Genomic DNA, 27162 nt, shown 5'->3' with positions numbered 1-27162 from the left:
CTTATCACATAGTTCTTCTCTCTACCAAAAATAATGCAAGAACAAACACATTTGTTTTGAACTATGGTTTCAAGGAGAACTCAAAAAAGGATATTCTTATGGAAAGTGATAACCTGGGACAGATTATTAAGAAATATTATTGCACTTTCTAAAAGAGTTTTGCTAAGACTGTGGAGGTCCAATTTGAGTTTAGGCGAGACTCAAACATGTTATATGCAGAGGAAGCAGAGGTCTAGGGAAATTTGGGTTATGAATTTGAATTTTATTTTTTATTTTTATTTTTATTTTATATGAATAATTTTTATTTCTAATTGGCAAGGTGAAAAATTGTATATATGTATGGTGTATAACATGATGTTTTGATATATGTATACACAGTGGAACAATTAAATCAAATTAATATATCTGTCACTTCTGCATATATTTATCATTTTTGGTGATGAGAACATTTAAATCTACTCTCTTAGCAACTTTCAAGTGTACAATACAATATTATTAACTATAGTCACATGCTGTACTATAGTTCACCAGATCTTATTCCTCCTGTCTATTTGAAACTTTGTAGTCTTTGACCATAACTCCCCATTCCCTGCTCCCACCCCTAGCCCCAGTCCCTGGCAACCACTATTCTACCCTTTGCTTCTATGAGTTAAACTTTTTTAAATTCCACATGTAAGTGAGATCATACAGTATTTGTCCTTCTGTGCCTGGTTTTTTTCACTTAGCTTGTTGCAGATGACCCGATTTCCTCCTTTTTAAGGCAAAATGGTATTCCATTATATTATGTATACCACATTTTCTTTATTCATTCATCAGTTGATTCCCTATCTTGGCTATTGCAAGTAATGTTGCAATGAATATGGGAATGCAGATATCTTTTTACCATACTGATTTCATTTCCTTTGGATACATATTCAGAAGTGAGATTGCTGGATCATATGGTAGTCCTATTTTTAATTTTTTGAGGAACCTCCATACTATTTTCCATGAGGCTATACTAATGTACATTTCCACCAACTGCGTGCAAGGGTCCTCTTTTCTCCACATTTTTGCAAATGCTTATCTTAGAGAGGTGAGATGATAGATATCTAATTGTGGTTTTAATTTGCATTTCTCCAATGATTAGTGATGTTGAGCATCTCTTCATATACCTGTTGGCCTTTCATACATTCTGTTTGCAGAAATGTCTGTTCAGATCTTTTGCCCATTTTTAAATTTTCTTTTTTTTTTTTTTTTTGCTGTTCAGATGTTTGAATTTCTTATATATTTTGGATATTAGTTCCTTATTTCATGTATGATTTACATATATTTTCTCCCATTGCATAGGTTTTCTCTTCACTCTGTTGATTGCTTCTTTTGCTGTGAAGCTATTTTTTTGGTTTGATGTAATTCCATTTGTCTAGTTTTGCTTTTGCTGCCTGTGCTTTTGGGGTCATATCCAAAAAATCTTTGCCAAGACCAATGTCAATGTCTCTAGGTTTTCTTCTAATAGTTTTATAGTTTCTGGTCTTACATTTAAGTCTTTAATCCATTTTATGTTGATTTTTGTATATGGGATGAAATAAGGGTCCAATTTCATTCTTCTGCATGTGGATATCAAGTTTTTCCAGCACCATTTATTGAAGAGACTGTCCTTTCTCAGTTGTATGATCTTGGCACTTTTGTTGAAGATCAGTTAACTGTAAATGGGTGAATTTATTTCTGGGCTCTCTGTTCAATTTCATTGGTCCATATTTCTGTTTTTGTGCCAGTACCATGTTGTTTTGATTGCTATAGCTTTGCAGTACATTTTGAAATCAAATAGTGTAATGCTTCCAGCTTTGTTCTTTTTGTTCAAGATTGTTTTGGCTATTTGATGTCTTTGATGTTTTCATATAAATTTTAGATTTTTTTCTATTTCTGTGAAAAATGTCATTGGAATCTTGATAGAAATTGCATTGAATCTGTATATTACTTTGCATAGTATAGACATTTTTACAATATACTTTTTGATTTTTACATTTGAGAGACACTCAAATTCCAGGGCATGACTGGAAGCCAGATAAGGCAGGCATCAAAAAAATATACCCTGCAACGTGAAGCCAGGTGTGATGAACTTTGTTCAGGGGTAAGGACCCACAGTAAGAGGAAGACACAATTTTGAAAGTTTGAAATGTATTCTGTCAGTCAGATTTGTTGCCTATCTCAGTTCCTACTGAGATAGGTCAATATTTTGAAAAATATTGCTTAAGCTTTTAAGCACTGTTTTTCATGCTGCAATGCTTAGGAACTCCTCTCGCAGAATGTAATCATGGGGGTCCTCCTCCACTGTATTACTTTCCAGGGACTGCTGTAAGAAAGCACAAATTGGGTGGCTTAAACAACAGAACTGTATTGTTCTGAGAGTTTGGAGTCCAAAATTAAAGTATGAGAGAAGTTGATTCTTTCTGGGGGCTGTGAGGGAGAATGTCTTCCATGTCTCTCTCTCTTAGCATCAGGAGCCTCAGGAGTTCCTTCACTTGTTGACGGTGCTCTCCCTGTGTATTCACACCATCTTCTCTTCCTTCCGTTTCTATTCTATCTTATATGAACCCAGTCATATTAGATTAAGGCCCACCCCAATGACCTCATCTTAACTTGATCATCTATAAAGAACTTATTTCCAAATAAGGTGACAATCACAGGTCCTGGAGGGTAGGACTTCAATATCTTTTTTGGGGGATGCAATTCAACCCATAACACCCACCATCATCAACCTTATCACACACCATAACACAACTTTGGTATCAAGAGAGTTCCAGTGCTTCTGAGTTGAAGCACATCAGGACATGGAGACAGTGTAAGGTGAGATGAGAAAAAAGGAACTATTGGTAGCAAATTCAAATTGTTAAAAACCTTGGTGGATTCAGCCAGGATATCTGTGGACTATTAAAGCCAACCAGGTTGAAAAGCGTGCATTAAATTTTACCTAAGTCTACTAGACCTAAAATACTACAAATGCTGCTTTGTTATTTTTCTTATAATGTTTCCATTTTCCTCAAAAGACTTAGATATGGCTTTTTGAAATCCTTTTTTAAAATATAATTTCATAAAATTGGTTTCAATTTAGCATAATATTTTGTTTATCTTGAAAAAGAAGACGGTTGCTTTGAAAGAAAATATCATTAAGCTTTCATTTTTCTTTTTCATCCCCAAAAGAGAAAGAAAAATCACCATTTCAAAAATCAAAAACCTACTACTAGGAATATACTGTGATTAAACCTAATTTATCAGAAGCAACCAATAGCAAGGAAAACATTTGACTCCCTAGAAAGTTTTAGAAAACCTCATATACTCACATAAAGGAAAATTCCTAGAACTTAGCCCATTTCCCTTTTGCCAGAAAAATTAAAAAAAGGCACTAGGAGTTGACACTGACCTTGTAAATAGAGAGCCAAAGTTCCTGTAAAGCAAGGTTTGCTTTGTACACAGCTGAGAAGTACAGGAGCCAATAACAAAATCCAGATATTCTTCCACTCTGTGTTGCCTCACTACTTAGACTGGTCACATATTCAACAACCATGCTCACTTACAGAGTAAATCTCTGACGAGGGTAAGTTCTTTAGTCCTTCTTATTTATACCAGTTAGGAACGCTTTCAGCAGCAAATAACAAAGTAAATTAATAATAACATAAATAGATAGGGTTGTTTCTGTTTTCTTTTTTGCTTTGTTTTTACAAAATCTGAACTCTGGATACAGAGTTCAGGACATAAGTAGTGACTTAATGCTGTCACTAGGAATTGGGTCTTTCTATTCTTCCTCTCTACCATTCTCAGTAAGTTGACTTTTTGTCCTTGTTTTTATGATTTCATGGCTTCAAGATGGCTGTCATAGCACCAAGCATCCTGTCTGTGTGTAGGCTGAAAGAAAGGATCACAGGAGCCAATAAGCTATCTTTTTCATCCCTGTCTGTTTTATTATGGAACAAAGACTTTCTCATAAGCCTCTACTTAAACCCCATTTTGGTCAGATCTCAGTCATGTGATCACCCTCAGCTATAAACAAAAATGAAAAATTAAGTATATGGCAAAGGAACATAAGATCATCATGATTTTCTTAGACTAGGAATAAAAACACTACAACACAACCAAACTGTGGCTCTGTAAACAAAGGAGAATGTGGAAATGGCTGTCAGGTAGACAGAGTCTGCCAGAACCACATTGAGGGTATATTAGAAGGCTTTTAGAGAATCCTTAAATAGTAACCCATCACTGAGGCTGAAGTAACAACAAAAAGATGATTAAAACAATTAGCTACAAGAACATATAAGAAGAAAACAGAGACTGTTTACCACTTTAGGAAGCTCAAGAAAACCATTGGATAAAATGGTTTAAAATCAGAGCCCTTTATTAGAACAAGAAACATTGACTAAATTAATAACCCATATAACATAAATTAAAAACTCATATAATAATATCACTAATATGGACACAAATAAGTATTTGCTGATCCTTAATGGACATTGTCCATAACATATTTAAGTGCTGAATGCAATCATTTCAACAAGTGACCTTATGAATAATTTTACAGCATCTAGAACAGGACATTAGAAACTCTAATGTGCTTAAAAATGACCTGGCAATGTCAAAATGCAGATATTGATTCAGTAAGTCTAGGGTGGGGCCTAAGACTGAATTTCTAACAGTTTCCTGGGTAATATGAATGTTGCTGATGACACTTAAAATAGTACGGATGTAGAAAACAGTTCATATCTTTTAAATTATTTCAGCATAGCCAATATAAGTTTACTTTGGGTTGAGATTTCCGCAAATAACTATCCTTGCTTTTGGTGAGAAATATCAAGACATCAAGACTGGTCACTGGAATGTTATTAAAAAGCCTCTGATAATTGATTACTTCAAATGTCACCTTTGCTTCTTTCACATAGTGTCAGTCTTAAGTTACCAGTCTTAAGTAATTTTTCCTCTTAAAGTTATTGAAAGAAAACCCATTTCTACCATAACCTAAATGCCTTCTAAGGACACAGAATTCTTCAAAGGGAAACACTTTTTATTCTGTTGAGCCCTTTGATAGGTCTAGCTTTAAGGTTTTAGTCAAAAACCGTTTAGATGTAAACCAGTTATTTAATGTTTCTGGGTGTATTACCTTCCGCACACCTTCAGATAAAATATGAAATTAGGTACAAGTTGTTATTTACTTATCTAACTGCAGCTTCTTGAAAATAACCTTTTACTTACCGGCTAGGCAGAGCTAGAGCTGGGGGAGAGGAGGTCACATGATGCAATAAGGGATCAAGGTTTACCAGAAGGACATCAGAAGTTATGCAGAGTCCAGGAGCTGATGCAGCAATCTAACATTTACCTGCTTAAAGTGTGCAGGGATACAGAAGGCTTTCCCTTGAAAACAATAAATGTTTAAAATCAAAAGCTGCATCTTTCCTTATTTTTAGGTGCTAAAGTCCTTAACATGGAGCATGTTTTGTTGAAGTTCTTTAAATGTTTAATGATGACTGGGAAGTCAATTTCATTTGGATACCTTCAGGGTTCTCCTGTATTCTTCATACATGGTATCTATATGAATGTGTGCTGAGAGGAAAAATCAGATTTAATAATTGTGGGTAGTGAGTTGCCCACCATCTAAGAGCCGGAATTAATATCTCTACCCTCCATTTAGCTATTTCTATCTCTATTTTTATATTTCTTTCTCTCCACCCCCCATCCAGACTTCTCCAGCAAACCTTTAAAATATGGTCATTTCCTCAGAATAGAATCCACTCTAGCTGGTTTAGGCAAAAGGGATTAAATTTTTTTTTCACAGAGCATTAAAAGGTTTACAAATCACTTGAGAGATAAACAGTCTCTAGGTTGAGCATCCAGGAGAAATGTCCAAAGCCACAAGACACAACTGGGCACCTCTGAGACCAGTTGTCTCTGCCATGATAGGAAGTACCATAGTGGCTGCTGGCCACTTACCCAGCAGCTACTACCATCACAGCTCATGCTTCTCTCCCCACTTCCTTCAGTTCTAAATTCAGTTCTCATGAATACATCTCTTTGGTAGAACCTGAATCATATTCAGAACAGTAATTTCATTGAAGTCTGAAAAGTGTTAGTTTTAGCTTTCCAGGCTCAGCTGTTTAGGAAGAAAGTTGAGATGATCACTGAATTGCTAAAACTACAGGATCAGCCATAATAAGCACAACAAAATGGGCACACATCTCAAATTCATTCAAATCAGCCTATGGAATCCTAGCTTTTGGCCATTCCTAGAACGTCACTCCAATACTACATACACTAAGTTACACATTTGTTGAGACCTCACTCCTTCTAGACATGCTAAGTTTTCATCATCCATTTTCCTCACTCTTCCAGACCTATCTTGGACATTTCCTCAGATCCTCCTGGGCCTCATCTACCCTCAGCCCCAGACTGTTGCTTGCCCAGAGTCCTGATCAGAGGAGCTCAGCAATGGTTGATTGACTCATGCCATTCCAATGGTCATAAAACTCAGAAGACTCAGCATCTCTCACCCTGGTTTTTGCAGCCTTCCCTGCAAATCCTGGGGAGAAAAAGCCAGGCTTTGACATGGCCTCCATACCTCTCATCACAGCAGAAACAGCAGCAGCTCCAGTAACTAAGTTGGAGTTAGTTACTAACCCAGCAGCTGTCTGGAGGGAAGATGTGCAAGTTAACACTTTGTTAGGTCAAGTAAGCATGAGAAACAGGAGATGGAAAGAAGCCAGTAGATAGATTGTTTGCCCTTCTTTCCACCAAAGAATTTTTCTAAGGTGCCGTGAATTCATGAATCTCTCTGGAGATGTTCAGTGTAACTGAGTAACCATTTAAATTTCCTATAACCAGAGCTCAATAACATGACTTTTTGTTTCCTATCCTTCCTTTTTTGTCACACTTGCTTCTCTGGACTTGTACTCTACAATAAAGCATGTGCTCATAAGATTAACCTCAGACTCTTTTCTTAGGAACCCAAGCTAAGCTACCACCTTTGCAGAGACCACTCCCTCAATGTGGAGTGACAGTTCCTCTTCATCAGCCCACATCTAACTTCTCTTCAAAAATCTGTCTCAAGATATTCCCTTGCACAGGAGCCCATACTTCACTAATTATTTCATTACCTCTTGTCTTACCTCCTTCACTCTGTGTTTTTCTGAATATTTTTGTGATCATATTAACTTGTACTTTTCTTCACATAGTTTGCACATATTATGCATGATATTCCCCCATCCTCGAGCTGGTCAGAACATAGCCTTTTTTTTCTACCATATATTTTCTCAGTTGCACTTACGCAAAGGCTTTACAACAAGAGAGTGCCCAATTTGAATACAGTTATGGAGTATCCACCCACCCTCTAGGTTCTGCCTTACTTCAGTCAGCATTTTTTCCAAGCATGCTTTGCCTTCCTGATGCAGCTGCAGGCTTTCCAAGGCCAGTCTGCTATACCTCTCTCCTGGGGCCCTGTCCCACAATCACAATTATTCTCCTCATCCTTGTGCATAGTTCTCTTTCCACTGCTCCAGCCTAAGAAAAAAAGAAAGAAAGAAAGAAAGAAAAACACTTGTTCTGGGTCCTGTTCTTGATTACCTGGCAGATAAGTGATTTATGCCCAGTTATTAATGACTAAAAGGGTAACTCCCAGGGCAATATTCATATATTTAAGGACATCCTATGAACAGGTGCCTTAAACCAAAGTGAGCTTACTCTAAAAAGTGTAGTTTAATGGAGGAAAACCTTCTGAGCAAGATAATTTTAATTAATAATTGCACCATCAATGTTCAACATTCTAGAACTCTAGTAGATCATACTACAGACTCTTATGTACCCAAACGCCAATATTTTGTTAGTGTGATATCATTATTTTAACATTTTTAAAACCTGAGACATGAATTATTTATACTTTGAGAATTACCAGAGAGTTAAACCCAGCATTAAAAGAGAGACCTTACGATCTCTCAAGGCCTCTGAGCTAGAAAGCAAAGATGACTGGGACAGTAGCCCAAATTTTCCCAGATTAAATTCACCCTAGTTCTACTTCCTGAAAGAAGGTTTTTAAAAAACAAACAAACAAACAAACAAAAAACAATTTTCCCTGAATATTTAATGAAATAGGACCTCCTTAAAAGACAATTATAAGGAAAAAGGAGTCCGTCTTACTCTCAATATAAGGCTGCCTCCAATGGGGTAAGATTGATAGCTAAAACAGTCAGTGTTTGGTGGTAGAAGCTCTTGCCTGTCTGATGGATTTGTTTTGTTTCAAAAAAGGCTATTTCACAGCAAAAGCTAAGAACCAGGCATCCAGTAAGCTGACTTCTGGGCCTTAATAACAAAAACTACAGCTGTCAATAAAGACATCGTAGTCTTTAATACAATAAAAATAAAAATTTCTAAAAGATCATCTTTATACTCTCACAAAAAGATGGAATCATTTGTAAATAAAAGTTCCAGAGGAAGATATTTGGACTTAGTTGCTTTTTGTCTCGTCACTATTTTTCTGTCTATTTTAAATTATGGAAAGTGTTTCCAGTGGCTAGAAGAATATGCCCCAAAATGAGGCTCACCATCGAAGATAACACCATTGATACACGTTGTTCTTAAGATCATATTTGCCAGAAAATCCAATTTAATTCATTTTCAATTTTCAGGATTCATTTTCTTCATTTTGTGCAATGTTTACTTTATTTTATATACTTTTGTATTGCTTTTTATCCTGCTAATTCAAATTATAATAGATGGTTAATGTTTACATTTTGAAATTTAAGTTATAGTCAATAATGTAATATTTAGTTTAAATGATTTTTTAATTTTTCTGAATTCTGAACAGTTTTTAAACAATGGGTGTTAAAATGAGTACTTATATACATCATGAGATACATATGAAAATACAAATATTGTGACTTTGCTCCAATAGTGTTATCATGACTTTCTATGGATCATCTCAATACTGCTGCGTAAATGACCACCAACCTTGGTCAAATGTGCAAATCAATGTTGAGTTCACTATTTCTGGTGTCCTTTTGACTTTCCCAATGCCTTCCTTCTGAACAACAGTACTTTATGTCTTCTTAGGGGTGTCTTCTGACTCTGCAACCTTGGAAACGGGACAACAGCTATTCCTTAAGCTTCATCTATGTGCCTAGCACTGTGTGACATGTTTTCTATAATCATCTATTTACTCTTCACAATAACTCGATGTGGTCCTTGTCAAAACCCCTATTTTACAGGTGAGGCAATGGATGCTGCATGGGGTTGGAAAACACATAAAATATCACATTACTGGGAGCCGCTCTGGGTCCCCTGGCTCCAAAGCCAGTGTCCTCTCTCTTCTACTTCACCACATCTGGTCTCCTCTTTGTGTTATAAGCGTGTAGAAATTACTTTGTTTGCAAACCAGCACAAGACACTTTGATTTTAATAACAAAGTATTTTTCTAGTAATTAAATAATATTTTATCTTAACCAAATTGGAAACGAGACTAGATGATTAGATGACCTTTGTAATCTCCTCAATCCCTGGCGGGTAAAGTGGGAATGTCCAGAAAAGGTCAAAGAAGGCAAATGCCCAGCGTAGCAAAAGGCATATGGTCAAATAACACAGAAAAACGTCCCTTCGTGGGGGAAATGAAGACTTGAAGGCATAATAAGGGCATTATGCTTTATCTAAAGCAAAAATACAAATTGAATATCTTATTCGCTCTTTGATAGCAAAACATACGTAGACATTTTCTGAACATTTATTCTCTCTAGGTGACTAGAATAATATCTACTATTTGTGGAGCACTACCTACTTGTCTGAACACCTTGCATTTGTCAGCAATTTATTGAAAACTGTGAACTCAGCAGGGTTCAAACCTGAGAAGGTTTTTTTCTCCTATTGTGGCTGTAACATGCTCTGTCGAATCTCCCTTTCCCAAGACTTCATGGCTTCTCCAGCAAATGCCAATTTTGTGAACTTTTTAGGCTGGAAAAGAGTGGAAAAGAGGCAATCCAGTGCCATCCACTTCAGTTTCTTGTCCAATTCAAATGTCCATCTCCTCCCCAGGACACAGTGGCAGTGAGAGGAGGCTACTCGTAACTCTTTCCCCTCCCTTTTGCATTTTCTGAGCCCTTTCTATGTTGAGGAAGAAGAGAGAATTCTCAAAAGTCAGCAGAAATGTTTTGCTTACCAGTTGTTGTTGTGACCTCTGTCCTCCATGTAGCAGGCAGTCTCTTCATTGCACAACCTCCTTTCATAGGAAATCGACTCCTGTAGACCTCTTCCAGTCTCCTTATTTCCTGCATAACTCACCTTACAGGCTTTTGCTGCTGGGGTCTCTTCTCTTAGTAAGTCACAGTCTAGGATGAACTTGCTTCACAATAGTTCAAGCCTGGTACCTTTGTAGTATCTACTTGACATATGGAAGACTCATGCATCTTTTTTCTACCAGACAATGGGAGTGTGCCTCATTGCCCTATTGCTCATTTTCTCTCTCTTGAGTTCTGTCCCTATATTATTTCCTACTGCTGGAGTAAGCAAAAAGAATACTACAGATCCATGACATGAGTAGGTATCCAACTGAAAAATGAGATTTCAGGCTCAACTTATTGCAGGCAACCCCCAGTCATTAAAAATATTTTCCTTGGAATACTCCATTGGATTATGCATAAGGGGCACTGAGAAAGAGTAAAAGGAAAAGACACAGAACCCTTTCTGAGGCTGAAGATTTACAATTCAGTAGTCCCCTCAAGATTAGTGAGTACAGTGGTAAGCGGAGTAGCAGAATGAATTTGCCTCTTAATGACTGGTGTTTACCAATCATCTATTTGTCTCCTAATTTTCACCTATTTGTCTCTAACTTTGGAGCCAAGTAGACAATTATGAGACAAAAAAAAATCCACTTACAAATCCTATTACACATAACTCTGAAAGATAGGCATTGTTATGCCTTAGGGAGGTAGATTGCAAATAATAATTACTGTTACTTTTTGAGGGCAGGAGAATTTCCATCACCTCACAGAGTGCTTGGCCTATATAGGGCTCAATAAATATTTATTAAATGACTACATAGAGTGAATGAATAGCTCAAGGTCATGCTTAGGAAATGGTGAACTGGAGTTCAAATCCTTTTCTTTTTTACCATCAATATCTCTCTAAACAAAATGTCATCCTAACACTAATGCTCATTAAAGCCATAGTACAGTGTCATATAAGAGTTTCTTCAGTCTAACTCAGTCATACCTTTCAGTGAAATAACCCATTTCTCTCCTCATATTGGAATCCAGTCCTGGGATGGTTCCACACACATGTGAAACCAATTAGCAGGTCCTAATGAAAGGTGACAGCGTGCTGGCAGCCCTCACAGCCCTCGCTCACTCTCGGGGCCTCCTCTGCCTGGGCTCCCACTTTGGCAGCACTTGAGGAGCCCTTCAGCCCACCGCTGCACTGTGGGAGCCCTTTTCTGGGCTGGCCAAGGCGGGAGCGGGCTCCCTCAGCTTGCAGGGAGGTGTGGAGGGAGAGGCGGGAGCGGGAACCGGGGCTGCGCGCTGCATTTGCGGGCCAGCTGGAGTTCCGGGTGGGTGTGGGCTTGGCGGGCCCCACACTCGGAGCGGCCGGCCGGCCAACCCTGCCCCCCGGGACAATGAGGGGCTTAGCACCCAGGCCAGCGGCTGCGGAGGGTGTACTGGGTCCCCCAGCAGTGCCGGCCCACCAGCACTGTGCTGGATTTCTCGCTGGGCCTTAGCTGCCTCCCGGCGGGGCAGGGCTCAGGACCGGCAGCCCGCCATGCCTGAGCCTCTCCCTTCCATGGGCTCCTGTGTGGCAGGAGCCTCCCCGACAAGCGCCGTCCCCTGCTCCACCGCGCCCAGTCCCATCGACCACCCAAGGGCTGAGGAGAGCGGGCACACGATGCAGGACTGGCAGGCAGCTCCACCTGCAGCCCCGGTGTGGGATCCACTGGGTGAAGCCAGCTGGGTACCTGACTCTGGTGGGGACTTGCAGAACCTTTGTGTGGACACTGTTTATCTAGCTAATCTAGTGGGGACGTGGAGAACCGTTGTGTCTAGCTCAGGGATTGTAAACGCACCAATCAGCGCCCTGTCAAAACAGACCACTTGGCTCTACCAATCAGCAGGATGGGGTGGGGCCAGATAAGAGAATAAAAGCAGGCTGCGCGAGCAAGCAGTGGCAACCCGGTCATCCCCTTCCAGACTGTGGAAGCTTTGTTCTTTTGCTCCTTGCAATAAATCTTGCTGCTGCTCACTCTTTGGGTCCACACTGCGTTTATGAGCTGTAACACTCACCGCGAAGGTCTGCAGCTTCACTCCTGAAGCCAACGAAACCACGAGCCCACCGGGAGGAAGAAACTCCAGACGAGCCACCTTAAGAGCTGTAACACTCACCACGAAGGTCCACAGCTTCACTCCTGAGCCAGTGAGACCACGAACCCACCAGAAGGAAGAAACTCCGAACACATCCGGACATCAGAGCGAACAAACTCCGGACACGCCGCCTTTAAGAACTGTTAACACTCACCGCGAGGGTCCGCGGCTTCATTGTTGAAGTCAGTGAGACCAAGAACCCACCAATTCTGGACACACTAAGCCTAGAATGAGCTTATTGTGCCTGGGTTTTACATTCTATATTTTGTGGTTGCATATGGTTGGTGAAATCTCTCCATGGCAAAATCCCTGACATTCACAAGTATTATTTTCCCCTGAGCTTTTCTATTTTCAGTTGCTTAATAAACAATAAGGATCTGTGTGACATTTATCATGTTAATTGCCGTAGGTTCTCAAATTCAGTCATATAAAGGCTGGTTGGTTATTCTAGGGACTTTAAACAAAAAGTATTGGACAGATGGATAGATGCATGGATAGATAGAATGGACTAAATACCTACATTTCAGGGAATTGATACCTTATGAATGCATCTTGATTAATGGCAATTTCATAAGCCAAAAAAGCAGTTGAGTCTCAGAAACTTGGAGAACTATTCAAACAGCTTTAAAACAAAAAGCTGTACCCTATATAAATACAAGGGATATGTGAATAACTCATTTAAAGTGCTTTATTTAAAAACTGGTCAGGCGCAGTGGCTCATGCTTGTAATCCCAGCATTTAGGGAGGCCAAGCCGAGTGGATGTCCCGAGGTGAGGAGTTTGAGACCAGCCTGGCCAATAAGGCAAAACCGTGTGTCTACTAAAAATTCAAAAATGAGCCTGGCATGGTGGCATGCGCTTGTAGTCCCAGCTATTCGGGAGGCTGAGGCAGGAGAATTGCTTGAACCTGGTAGTTGGAGGTTGCAGTGAGCCAAGATCACACCATTGCACTCCAGCCTGCGTGACAAAAGCGAGACTTTTATTTAAAAACGCATGGTTGATTCTTCCCAGTATTATTATAGAGGAAAAAACATGGTAAATATTTAATTTTAGAGCTGGGGCCAAGTTGAAGACACCAAGGATTTAAGAAAACTTTGGGGAAGGGGTTGGAAAGACATCCTGTACATGGAAGAGAAGAGTCAAGTTTTTTCTCAACATTGCCTGCACTGGCTGAATTTCAAGTAACCTTTGCCGTCCTTGCTGAAGCTAAAGCAGAGGACTAATGAGGAACAGCAACAACTCAGACTCTTCCTGGGCAAATGGACAAAGTTGTTGACTATTTTCCTTGGGTTCTACCTCAAAGATCCACGGCCTGAGTCTCTGAGATGCAAAACAAATGCAAGCAGAGGGAACATATTTGCATTTGGGTTTGGACAACAAGATTACAGGTGCCCAAAGAGGTATAGCGAGCTCCAGCAATAATTTTTCGACTGATCAAGAGATTAAGAAGTGCAGGGAAACAGTTTCAGGTTTGCTTTTGAAGGCTAGAGGAGCACAGAGGGGCGGTAATAACTCAGCACCACACAGTGTCCCCTTCCGAGACAGGAGAGAAGCCTTGCTTGTCTATTCTTGGCACTGATCAGACTCTCTTATAAGTTTCTGGCAACCTCCCAGAGAGAACGGCGTGTTCCCTGCTGAGTGTATAAAGGGCTTGGAAAACATGTTTGTGTGTGCAACCCTGTGGGCAGGGCCTGGCTTAGTCTCTCTGTGTCACATAGTTCCTCTCTGGAGTGTCAGGAGGCAGCCTTGGACTTTTAGACCTGCTGTGCAAGTCTTCAGAAGCTAAGATAGTCCCCAGGTCCAGTCTGTGTACGTTGCTGTGTTTCCATCATCATGGAAGAGATAAATTTTTAGGGAACCTGGATGTTCCTGTAAACCATGGTTCATAAAGTATTCTGTTGCAAGGAGTAAATACAGGTTGGATTTCAGCTAACCTCCTATTATGGTCACAAAGCCTTCCTTTGGAAACTTGCACCTGTTTTGCCCAGTGAGATTTGGCCAGGCATGATTACTCACCCTGTGGGAACTAAGATAACACAGATTAACACCAGTGCTCCTTGCTGCCATCTTGGAGCTAGTGACTCACTCCCTGCTCGTCAAACTCCCTTTTCAGAAGAGTGAAATTTGAGCAGAAGGAAGGATTAGTCAGCTTGGCCTGACAAGCCCCTAAGGAAGCTCCTAGGGTTTCCAGTAAACAGAAAAGGGGTCTTTAGAGAAATTGTGAGCTCCTAGACCCTCTGGGCAGGCAACCTAGGTCCACCTGTCAGAGTCTAATAACAAACAGCAACCAAAATATTTTAGAGTATCTTAAAAACAGACTGTAAGATTTCATCATTACAGACCTGTTCTTGTGAACAACGTAAATCCATTTTAAAAATGGAGTCTCGGCCGGGCGCGGTGGCTCACGCCTATAATCCCAGCACTTTGGGAGCCCAAGGCGGGCGGATCACGAAGTCAGGAGATCGAGACCATCCTGGCGAACACGGTGAAACCCTGTCTCTACTAAAAATACAAAAAAATTAGCCGGGCGTGATGGCGGGCACCTGTAGTCCCAGCTACTAGGGAGGCTGAGGCAGGAGAATGGGGTGAACCCGGGAGGCGGAGCTTGCAGTGAGTGGAGATCGCACCACTGCACTGCAGCCTGGGCGACAGGGCGAGACTCCATCTCAAAAAAAAAAAAATGGAGTCTCCTATGGAACTTTCTGGAATGGAATCTAGTGAAATTCCTCCATCTTCCAATATTTCAGGCACTTTAACCACTTTCTTAATATGGTCTAGCACTGTAGTTATCAAGTGCACTCTCTTTCTATATCCCCATCCTCCCGTAACTCTCTCCTAAGTGTCAGGGATTTACTGGACATCCCCATCCTGCTATCCCATAAGCCCCTCAAAATCAACATGTCCAAAATTAATTTTGTCATAAGAAACAGGATAGCATAATGGTTTTAAAACAAAGCAAAACACACAGGCATTGGTATGCAAGTGATTGAGTTTGAATCCTGCCTCTACCTTTAATTACCTGTGAGATCCTAGGCAATTGCATAATCTGTCTATACTACAGTTTAATCGTCCATAAAATAAAAATAATAGTATTTTCCTCATAGGGTTATAGTAAGAATTAAATAAATTAAAGCATGTAAAGGAATTAGCATCATTATATTTTCCATGTCAGGTTTGCTATAAATAAGAGTTAAAAAATGAATGAAGCAACACAGTTAATGCTTAATCTAATACTTAGTCAAGCTACTGGTAACAAAAAACTCAAAACATGAAATACAGATTTGAGAAGTCCAGATTTCAGCAGCAATTTTGATAATTAGTAACTAGACCTTGATTAACATAACTTTTCTAGTCCTCATTTCCTCATAGTCAAAATAGGGATGGCACTAATAGCTACCAACTGTGGGGTGTTGACTATGTGTTAGGTACCATTGCTGAGTACTTTATAAGCATTACAAATAATAACACAAAAGTTTAGTAATCATTTTGGAATAATCACTGATGGACAATATAACATTCATTCATTCTTAAAACAGTATACACTGAGTGACTATTAAATGCTAGGAGTTGAGATACAAAGGGAACAAATGACAAACTATTCCAACAGACAGTTCACCAAAGAAGATACACAAATAGCAAATAAGCAAGTGAAAAGCTGTTTAACATCATTAGCCCTCAGAGAAATACAAATGAAAAGTACAGAGACTTATCACTATTTACCTATCAGAATGGCTAAAATTAAAAAGACTTACATCACCAACTATTGACAAGAATGACAGCAACCGGAACTCTCATATTGCTGGTAGAAATGCAAACATGTACATCACTTTGGAAAACAGTTTGGTACTTTCTTGTAAAATTAAAGTGGCTGACCTTGAATTTCACTTCTAGATATTTGCCCAAGGGAAATGGAAACATGCCCACAAAAAAGATTTGAACAAGAGTGTTTACAGCATATTCATCCATTGTATTAGTCAAGACTCTCCAAAGAAACAGAACCCGTAGGTTATATATACATAGAAAGAGAGATAAAAAATATGTTAAGAGATTGGCTCAGATGATTATAGGGACTAACAAGTTTGAAATCTGCAGGGGAAGCCAGCAGGCTGGAGACCCAGGGAAGAGTTAATGTTTCAGTCATGAATCTGAAGACAATCTGGAGGCAGAATTCCCACTTTCTCAGGGGACCTCAGTCTTTTTCTTGTAAGGCATTCAACCGATGGGATGAGAACAAACCCCATATTATGGAGAGTGATCTGCTTTACTCAAAACCTATTAACTTAAATGTTTATTACTTCTAAAAAATATTTCCACAGCAACATCTAAACTGATGTTTAACCAAATATCTGGATACACATAGCCTAGCCAAGTTAACACACAAAACTAACCCTCACATCTATTATTACCCTAAGCTGGAAATAACCCAAATCTTCATCGCTAGGAGAATGCATAAATATTTATTTTGGTATATTCACAGGATGGAACACGATTAAGCAATAAAGAAGTATAAACTACTAATATATGCAAAATATGGATGAATCTCCAAAATATTATGTTACGAGAATGAAGCCAAACACATAAGAATATATGCTGTATAATTCTGTTTTTGTGAAGTTCAAAACCAAGTAAACCTAACCCATGGTGATAGAAACAGTACAGTGGTTGCCTGTGGGAGATAGGAATTTACTAGAAAGAGACAAAAGAATACATGAAGATATTCTGGGGTAATAAATGTATTGTTTACCTTGACTAAAGTGTTGATTATAAGGGTATATACACTTGTAATCATTCATACAATTATCCATTTTAAAGTTGTGTATTTCACTATTGGTAAATTTTACCTTAATCTTTTAAAAAACTGAAGAGATTACAGTTCCTTCTTTTAAGGAGGTTACAGCCTGGTGGTAGAGACTGGCAGACAGGCATTTACAACATAGTATAAGTGAGGTACTTAACCTAATTCGCCTATTAAAGCTTTTAAAAGGGGACGTGGGAAATTGGAGTGGTATTTTTGAAAGCACCCCAGGTATCTGAATGTGCAGACTCATCAGTTTCCCAATGAAGGCCAAGACTTTGCCATTATTCACCTTTGAATCCACAGCAGGTACAGAGTCCAGCTCAATAAATATTTGTTGAATAAATGGCAAAATTCTATGCTTCTCCTGACCAAAGAAAACCAAAAGTGAAATCCTGTGCCGGCAGCCCTGCCTTCTAACTCCATCCAGCTTTTTATTTATACAATTCGAGACCAAGAGCCTGTGAGAGGATTGAGAATGAAATCCAAGGATGACAAATGTATTTCACCTTGCCTATCAACTCTAAGCAATTGGAAGTAACAGTCCTTACACTGTACTGAGAAGAACTCTGCGGCTGAGTCTGGGCTCAAAAGGAGAGAATATTTTGGTTGGTTATTATTGTCTGCCGTAGGTGTAAAAAATAACACACCCCACTTTTGCCATCCCTGAAGAGCTCAAATTCAAGCACCACATAATATCAAAATAAGATACAGACACAGCATATGTTCAATGAGTCAACCTTGCTCCAACGCAGAAAAAAAAATATTTAAGAATCATTGGAAACTAAATCAAATATCTACACATTGAAAGAGGGCCCATATTAATTTATTTAGATGCGGCCCATGTCTACAAATGGGCAGATTTCCTTCAGTGGGCTGCAACTGGAATATCACTGAATATCTATTCATATGCTCACATATTTTTGTTAGATATGTGTGTGTCTAACCATTTGTGGAATGTGCAGGGTCTACAAGTCAGTCACTTACAGAAATCTAGAATTCAAGCAGGGTGGGACTATAATAATAATTGCAATTTATTAAAAGTTAACCAGGTGCCTGACATTGTACTAAACAATTATTGCTCCTAGTTACAAAGGTGGGAACTGGGCCTCAGAAAATATTAAGTGACAGGGAGGAGTTCCAACTCTGGCATGTCTGATTCTATGCATTACTCTGTATGGCTACCTATTCAGCTATATTATCTCAATAACTAATTCTTTTATGATTTTCCAGAAGGGAGCAACTCTGTGACCATACCGGTGGAGATGTCTGACTATGTGCAAAAGTGCATGGGACACCTGTGACTCAGATGGCATGATTAGGCTTCTCTGGCATTGCCTGGGATGGGCAGAAACATGCATATCTCATTTTGGAGGCTTTTCTCCTGTCTCTTTGGTAGTTTTTAATCCTAGCTTGGTCCTGATCTCTCACCTGCAATCTATTGCTAGAAAGACAACAAATGCTATTCTTGCCAGTTGTTGACAGACCCTAAGAATATATCAACATTTACTCTACATAAGTACATGCTCACACTGAGATCCTAGCCACGAAGAAGCAAAACAAAAACAAAAACAAAACCACACCCAGGAATGAGAACAAGAAACAATAAGGGAAGAGAGAAATGGAGAGAATATGAAAGAGACAGAAAGAAAAACAGGGAGGAAGAAAGAAAGAAGGGAAATTGAATGAATGGAATTACTAATGAAATTGTCTATTTCAGTGCTACACAGAGAGAAACTAACTGCAATGTTGTTTTTTTCCTTCCAGATTATGTAACCACAGGACAGAAACCTATGGTTCTAAAATCATTTCCTGATACCCAGATCTCTTTCCAATGAAGGCAAGAGCAAAATTCTTTGAAACTGTAACCAGGAGATTAAAGAAAGGTGCCATAGAATACCTATTTACCTTTCTTGATCTTTCTGGTTTAATTTTCTTCAAGACGGCCTTTAGAAATGAAAGCTGTGTGTAATTCCATAGCTGTGATTCACAGCAGGGAGAAAATTCTCCTACAGTGCCTCCTTTAGGCCAAACTGCCAGGAGCAATGAACCCTTAACAAAACAGCTTGGGACAGTTTGTTTCAGAGAGTGAGTCTGTACCACGGGAAAATCGTTGCAGTTAAAATGCAATAAAAAGAAAAAAAAAAAAGCTGGATCTTTGGCCTGTGCACATAAATGTCTTAGAAACCCTGTCATATCTGGCTGGGCACAGTGGCTCATGCCTGTAATCCCAGCACTTTGGAAGGCCGAGACAGGTGGATCACAGGAGTTTGAGACCAGCCTGGTCAGCATAGTGAAACCCCCTGTCTATCAAAAAATAGAAAAATTAGCTGGGCGTGATGGCATGCACCTGTAATCCCAGCTACTTGGGAGGCTGACATGACAGAATCCCTTGAACCTGGGAAGCGGAGGTTGCAGTGAGCCGAGATTGTGCCACTGCACTCCAGCCTAAGCAACAGAGTGAGACCCCATCTCAAAAAAATAAAATAAAATAAATAAAAATAAATAAATTCCCCCAAAGAGTCTGGAATGTCAAGTAGTTAATCACCATTACCTAAATAAAGAAATTGACACTTGAATTAAGAAACTGACCCAAGTTCACAAAGATATTAAATGGAACAATCAAGATTAAAACTCAAGCCATTGAATTCCAAAGTCCATATATTTTTCTTTGTGCCACACTGCAGTGCTAGTTGGAGTAAACAGTTTTCAGCTTCTTTGTATTTTTGTCATAGAATTAACCAGATGTTGCTTAGGAACAATTTGCTGATGCCTGTGTTTTCCTTGATGGATCATCCTAAGAGACCTTTTGTTGTCCATCTGACTTCAGCAGTATTTGGAGTCCTGGGATCCCTGAAAGACTGTAATGACGTCAGTGCTTCAGTGAATAATTTAGCACTTGAACACTGCCATGTTGAGAAGTATAAGCAGTCCTAGACCTCCAAATTTTGCTCTGTTCTGTCATTTTCTGATGCCCTGGAAGAAACATTTCTTTCTTTTTTTAATGCAATTTTTAAAATCTTTAGCTTTTGATAAAAAGAAAAAGTAAGGCTATCATCCCCTTTGTTGCTCCAGAGTAAATTATTCCATATGATTGGAGTGTTTTACATGAGAAGGGAGGGTTAATTAGTATCATTTTTACATATTTTTTCAGATCTAAAGGATCAGAATTGTATTTGGGGGTGGCATGGAAGAAAAGAGTAATGATAAAGGCAATTACCTGGTATTAAACATCATGACGGTGCTCTAAAAATGATGAATACCCTGTAAATGTTACATGGTTGTATCATAATTGTTACTGCTATAAAAATTATAAGGTTGGAAAAAGTATAATTATAATGATAATAATATTCATTGATTCCCCATGGTGCTTCCCCACTCTTTGAGACATTTCATAATTTCATCCCACTCAGCTCTTCCAACCTCATCCTCTGCTCCCCACACACAACAAATGTTCATCTACGTGCATCAAGTTACTCTAACTGACAGTGGTGAATACTCAGTGTATACTCCAGCTCTCACCCTTTGTCAGGGATACTCACTTTTAAATTCCCTCCCAAACCCCAGGGCCTTACTGTTACCCAAACTATTACCTAAACCCCACCCCTCTTCAGGTCACAGATCAAGTCCACCTGCCTTCCGTGGTCCATAGTGGCTTCTATCTGCCCTCGACTCCAATAGCACTTACCATCCCGACCACCGCCCAGGCTGTCACGGACTTGTCACAGTGTTTTTTGTGTGTGCATCAGTCAGATCCCTAGAGGAAATGGAGGACACACTCAATAGGGGTGACTGAAAAGAAACTAATTAAGGGCTATCTGTGGAAGTGTAGGTAGGGAGCCAGGAAGGGCCCCAATCTTCTGCCGATCTTCCCATGGACTGAACCCTCTAGGAAGCCAGGCGACAGGGAGTCAGTTGATACAGTCTGTGAAAGTCATTCTGCCAAGACCCAGAGCAGGGTAGAGAGAGGATCCTTGTTTAGAGAATGGGCAGCTCATTTTGTATGTCTTGCTTCCTGAATCAAATTATTCGTAATCTATATTGGTTCCCACCACTTGTCAGTCAAATACTGACTTTCAGCTTCCACCACATCTGGAACAGGACAAGGAGTGAATGTTTGCCTTTGTACCTCTCAGCAGGTGTGTCTTGGCTCCTGGATCTTGAGAAGGACCTCAGTACCTACCTTCTACATCTGAGGCTGCCTTACACACCCCAGCATGATAGCTGTTTTGTCCATTTTTCTCTGCTTAGTGAGCACTGAAAACTAATCCAGGCTGTCTTTAAGAAATACAAGGTGGCTATTTTATTTCCATAACTGGATTCAGCATATATTTGCAGAGTGGTTATCCAATATCATTGAGACATAGCTCTTTCTGAGAAAACAGAAAACCAATTAGTAAAGAAGAAATTTAAGTTCACTTAAACGACTTAGTGTCGCTTTTTTAACAACAACTGCTGGCCAGGCGCGGTGGCTCACACCTGTAATCCCAGCACTTTGGGAGGCCAAGGTGGGTGGATCATTTGAGGTCAGGAGTTCGAGACCATCCTGGCCAACATGGTGAAACCCTGCCTCTACTAAAAATACAAAAATTAGCCAGGCATGGTGGCAGGCACCTGTAGTCCCAGCTACTTGGGAGGCTGAGGCAGGAAAATCGCTTGAACCTGGGAGGTGGAGATTGCAATGAGCCGAGATCGTGCCATGGCACTCCAGCTTGGGTAACAGAGCAAGACTCTGTCTCAAAACAAAGAAACAAACAAACAACAACAAAAAAAAAAACCACTTTTGGGGGATGTTTTTGCATACATTGTTTTTCATTGATGGCAGATATGATCAAACATGAACAAAGCAACTTATCACTGAAATGTAGGTTTTGAAAATCCTTTCTGATGAACCAAATGGCTCAGTTAGACAGCATCTAATTTTTTTAAAAAACTGTGTAGTTTTTATCCTTATTTCTAAATAAAAACAAATAAACCAAAACCTTGAGCTACTAAAAATGAATCTTAAAGTGACTTGATAACAACACTCCTCTTCTTCTTCCCACATTTATCAGAGAACTACACAGGTAGTAATACCGAATAAAGTTTTTGGGTTTTTTTTTTGTTTTTTTTGTTTTTTTACAGTCAAGGTCTCACTCTGTTGCCCAGGTTGGAATACAGTGGTGTGATCATAGGTCACTGTAAACTTGAACTCGTGGGCTCAAGTGATTTTCCTGCCTCAGCCTCCGGAGGAGCTGGGACTACAGGCATGTGCCACCATACCCAGCTAAGAGAATAAATTCTTGCATGTCAAAAAATAAATGAATGAAATTATTCTACCCTCTGCTCATTCATTCTGATACCCAATGACCCTCCCTGCTAGGGATCTCATTGCTAATCTATGTCCTGCTACAAAATTCATCTCCTCCTTCTCTTTCCCCCACTGAAGATGGAAACAGCTGCGAAATCAGCTCCGTATATGATACATTTTCAAGTGACTAAATTTTTCCATAGTAAAATAGATCATTGCGTCTATTTTACTACTTACAAAAATACAAAGATGCAAAAATTAATTGGTTGGCATGTTTACTAATCCCCCACTCAGTGGAGAATTTCTATCCCTACTCCCTATCTCAAAAAAGCCCAGGAAGGTCAGGGACCTGGTTTGTCTTGTTCCCCCGTGGATTCCCAGCTGTCATCAAAGTCCTGACACAGTACAAGCTCACCCAACAGTTCCCAAAGTGAATAGAAATCTACAATGTATCACCTGCAGCTACAGATTCACTCTAAGGATATACTACTCCACTGGTGGGAGCCTATCTCTACAATATAATGATTATGACAAAAGCAAGGACATTAATACCAATAAAATGCTACTGAGTGTCATGGTCTGCTCTACATGTTTTAATCTGTTAATAACTTAACCCTCAAAACAATCCTATAAAAGTCCTATGAAGTAGGCACCGTGACTATTCTCATTTTACAAATGAAAAAACTGAGGCCTGGAGCAGGTGTGTCATTTTCCCTATATTATGAGTCAGATAAAGAGGGGACCCAGACAGAGAGCATCAGAGCCAAACCTCCAAACACCTAACTGTAATGCATCTACTTTATCCTCCTAAAGAAAGTAACAGGAATTCCTTCCAGATACTAGCTGTGGTGTTTGTGTTTCAAAGAAAATGGGTGAATAGTTGAATTCATTTGTAAAAGTTTGGAAAGTGTACCAACTTAGAACTTTGTAAGTTCTTCACAAACAATCAGATGAGTAATAAAAACGTAAGACTCAGCTGTCTTTTCCAACATTGATAACCCACTGCAAATGGTTTGTTACTTTTCTTATCCCTACAATCATCGTTCGACTACTGTGTTTTTATCAGAACCCACTGGGTTTAGAATGGAAGGACAAAGTAGAGACATAACACTCGATGATTAAAAAATAGAACACAAGTGTGTCTAGTTCCTAAGAAGGAGAGAAAACAAGATAGGTGATCTTTCCCTCATATCTAAGATTCTTCCTCTCATGTAAGTTTCAGAAGAGAGATTGTTTTTTTCTTCAAGACAGTAGATCCTATTTACAGAAAGTTTTCTAAGAAAGTAACAAAGGCGTCATGAGGATGTAATTTCCTCTGTTGCTTTGCCCAGGGTTTAGTGGACAGTGAGAATGAAGGAAAATGAAAAACCCCAGGAGGACAGAGATGGTGAGAGGCAGAGGAGAATGATTCAGTACAATTTCTTTACTACTATTAAAACACACTTGTTCTTACAGCAAGAGGCTGCATTGTATTTGTGTTTTGGCCACAGTTACCCTTTACTTTCTTTTGAAAACATTATTTATTTACAGGCACAATCCCTGATTCTCTTTTTCTTTTTAACTGTTGATAAAAGCAATGAAATGTGTAGAGTTCTTCAGTGTCATTGCTGAAAAGTCAAAGCGGGGTTAGGAAAAAGAGTCTTATTGGTAAGTAAACACAAAGATGAAAGGAGACAGAAGAGCTTTATTTAAGTTCTCTAAATAAAAGTTCAAAGATAAGGAAAAATTACTTTAATTCCACCAATAAAAAAATTACAAACAAGTAGCCATGTATTCTACACTAGATGAACATAAGTGTTTAAGCACAAGCAAGGTGAATAAGAAAAGTTTTCATTTCCCTGGGCGAGGAACATCTTCTCCCTTTGTCCTCAGCATCAGTTTTACTTGCCCCAAGTCAGTGCATCACAAGCTTTGCTGCTAGAATACGCCTTAAGATGCAGGGCAGCAAGCAATCCTCCAATTGTTCCAGGGTGTGATCTTGTTTTACTTTGTTAATTATTACTATTTTAAGATTTCAATAGTTTTGGGGGTACAGGTGGTTTTTGGTTACATGGATACATTCTTTAGTGGTGAATTTTGAGATTTTAGTGCACCCATCACTGGAGCAGTGTACACTGTACCCAATATGTAGTCTTTTATCCCTCACCCCACTCTCAAGCTTCCCCTTGCAAGTCCCCATAGTCCATTATATCACTCTGGATGTCTTTGCATCCTCATTGCTTAGCTCCCACTTATAAGTGAGAACATATGGTATTTCACTTTCCATTCCTGAGTTACTTCACTTAGAATAATGGCCTCCAGCTCCATCCAAGTTGCTGCAAAAGACATCATTTCATTCTGTTTTAGGATGTGTTCTAATACCACTTGCTGCAAGCAAACTATTTTTTGAAAGATCAAGCTTTATGTGAATAATTCATACAAATTCAGCATTCTATTCCATGATATAGATCTTGTTTTAGTACAAAATATCTCCACCAAAATATCTGAGTAAAACTGATACTTAAAAGAGATTATTGTATCCACCTATGACTTTTCTTACACAGCCCTGGGAGTAAGACAATCCCAGTTCAGAAGCACAGTCTCAACTGAGATTAACCAGTTAGGTGATTGCCAGTTAACATTAAATGATAGCCTATTGGAATATCTGACATCATCTCTATTCAACACTCCAGCATCCAAAGTTAAATATGATGGAGAACCACACACATAAAAGAAATCTGCTCACAACTGACAGATTTGTTTGCAATTTACTTCTGCTTTAACCTCTAAAAAATGATGCTAAGAGCAATGAGCTTATCTAAAAGTGATTATAGCAAGAACAAAAAAAAAAGTGAAGCAAAATTGACCTCATAAACCACAAGGCCCAGAGCTTAATCACCTACATTTTTCTTTCTGCAATCCACTAACTAGCAAGCCTGATTAACACACTAATCTTCCCAAGTTTCTCAAACTTTTACCATTTTCAAAAAGTCTCTCTATTTACTTTTCGTAGCCCACTGTCACTAGCAAAGTGCTCCTTATCTCTTAGCTACAATGCTATGAAATGTCAGTCTGCTACATAAAAAGACCGAAGTAATCAACTAGGTCCCCTCACACACTTTCTTTCCCCCATTTTCCTATGCTTCCTTGTCACATGCACTGGAGCCATTGAGTGTGCAATATTTTTCTCAAGGAGTCTGGGAAAGTATTAATACTAACCAAGAAACCATACCAAAAAGACACACTATCTAGAAAAAACCTTAAAAATACCCTAACAAGAGCAGGAGATCCCTCTACTTTACATAACCCCTTCACTCTTTAACTTCATGCTTAAAAGAAAAATCACACTTCATGTCAGAAACACAACTTTGAAAGATAAGCATTAAAAGTGAGTCTGCACCTGTACTCTTGCCCCATCACTTTATATTGCAGTTAGCTGTGTGTATGTCTGGATCCTCTGCTAAATGGTGAGATCCTGGAAGGCAGGAGTCACATGGGACTCATCTTTGCATCTCCAGTCTCTGGCTCAGTGATGTCTGGTTCAAATGTCCATTCTTGACTATTAACTGGACTGATGTTTCTTTCTCATTTCTAATTTGACTCCAAGATCTCCTTGTTTTGACTATGCTCATATGCCTTCATCACTGAAATAAACTTGAGTAGCTTGGTTTGGGGAGTAGGAGTTTGCAAAACTAGTGACAGTAATTACTGCTAAGGGGTAATGGGGGAAAACACCAAGTTTAAGAGGCCAATTGCAAAGCCTGCTATATGGCCATTTGAATGAGAATGTAAACATATTACTGATAAGGCACAGAATTATATTGGTTGGAAGAAAACCTGGGTCCCATTTCAGATGAGATAAGATATAAGAAGTTTTACAAAAATATTTCAGGTACTTAGTAAGAACACTATACATATTAGTTATTACTGTTCTATCAGTACATTCTGAATACATCCTTGTCTTTGAAAATTCCTTAACTTTACTTCTTCTTTATTTCCCCATACCATGATATTCTAGGATTAATGGCAGTGTTTGTAAAGTGTTTTGAAATCCCTGAAGTGTTATAATCAACCCAAGTACCATTTTATTTAGGCAAACTGTGTCTACCCAGCAAGTCCACTTAAATACCTAGGATTGGGAACTGCTGTCTCATAAGGCTTAATAAATAATTCCCTCTGGCTCTAAAAGCAAGTACTTTTTCAATGACAATGGGAGGGAAAGCAAAGGAATTGCTCTATGGCATCTGTTGTGTAATGTTCTTCTAATGGCACATCTCGATAAGTGCATGAGAGTCCTTGGAGAGTTACAGCACACAGTAAAGAGAGAGTGGTAAAAATCCCAGTATTTCTGAAAAGGAAGGCAAGACAAATTAAAGTTAGCAAGGCCCCACAGTTTACATCAATAAAAATCAGCAATGCTGCAACTAACCTCTATACGTAATGGCAGCTTCCTAGGGTCTCTATTGGTGAGGCAAAAATTAAACGCAATATTGAAATGGGAGCAGTGAGGCGGTGGTATACAAGGAAAGGGGAGGGGAAATAACATTCTACAATTCAGAACCCAGGAGATAAGATAAAATATGCAAGTGTGAAGTGCCTGGATGAATCTAAACCAAAATAGCAATTTTAAACACATTATGTGCTTGGTGTGATGCATATATTCAGATATTTAATGGAAGTGAAGGATTAATGCAGCTCACTCAAGTTAGGTGACTTTTAAAAGTAACACAGCCAATAAGTAGCAGAATAAGA

The 27162-nt window shown here is 39.2% G+C and overlaps 1 protein-coding gene and 1 long non-coding RNA gene across 4 annotated transcripts in view; both read right to left on the bottom strand.

Annotated features, from left to right (window-relative positions):
* Window positions 1-1883: 1883 nt before the first annotated feature.
* On the bottom strand, window positions 1884-11362 carry LOC124901699 (uncharacterized). The gene is made up of 3 exons (XR_007060438.1): window positions 7362-11362; window positions 6578-6647; window positions 1884-5376 (listed from the first exon to the last, which is right to left on the bottom strand). It is a non-coding gene; the product is annotated as an uncharacterized LOC124901699 (long non-coding RNA).
* A 1649-nt stretch (window positions 11363-13011) lies between these two features.
* Window positions 13012-27162, bottom strand: part of ASB4 (ankyrin repeat and SOCS box containing 4) — an 80662-nt gene continuing 66511 nt past the window's right edge. For 2 of the 3 annotated variants that reach the window (XM_047420471.1, NM_016116.3), the window contains exon 5: window positions 24096-26758. In XM_047420471.1, the coding sequence (XP_047276427.1) occupies window positions 26570-26758 (189 nt within the window). In that variant the 3' untranslated portion in view covers window positions 24096-26569. Of the gene's footprint in view, window positions 20118-24095; window positions 26759-27162 lie in introns of those variants that run through there. The other variant, XM_017012303.2, reaches the window with a different exon arrangement.

The sequence above is a fragment of the Homo sapiens genome, chromosome 7 (genome assembly GCF_000001405.40).
Source record: "Homo sapiens chromosome 7, GRCh38.p14 Primary Assembly".
Classification (NCBI taxonomy): Eukaryota; Metazoa; Chordata; class Mammalia; order Primates; family Hominidae; genus Homo; species Homo sapiens.
The sequence above is the reverse complement of the archived record's forward strand: the minus strand, read 5'-3'. Positions and strand labels throughout refer to the sequence as shown.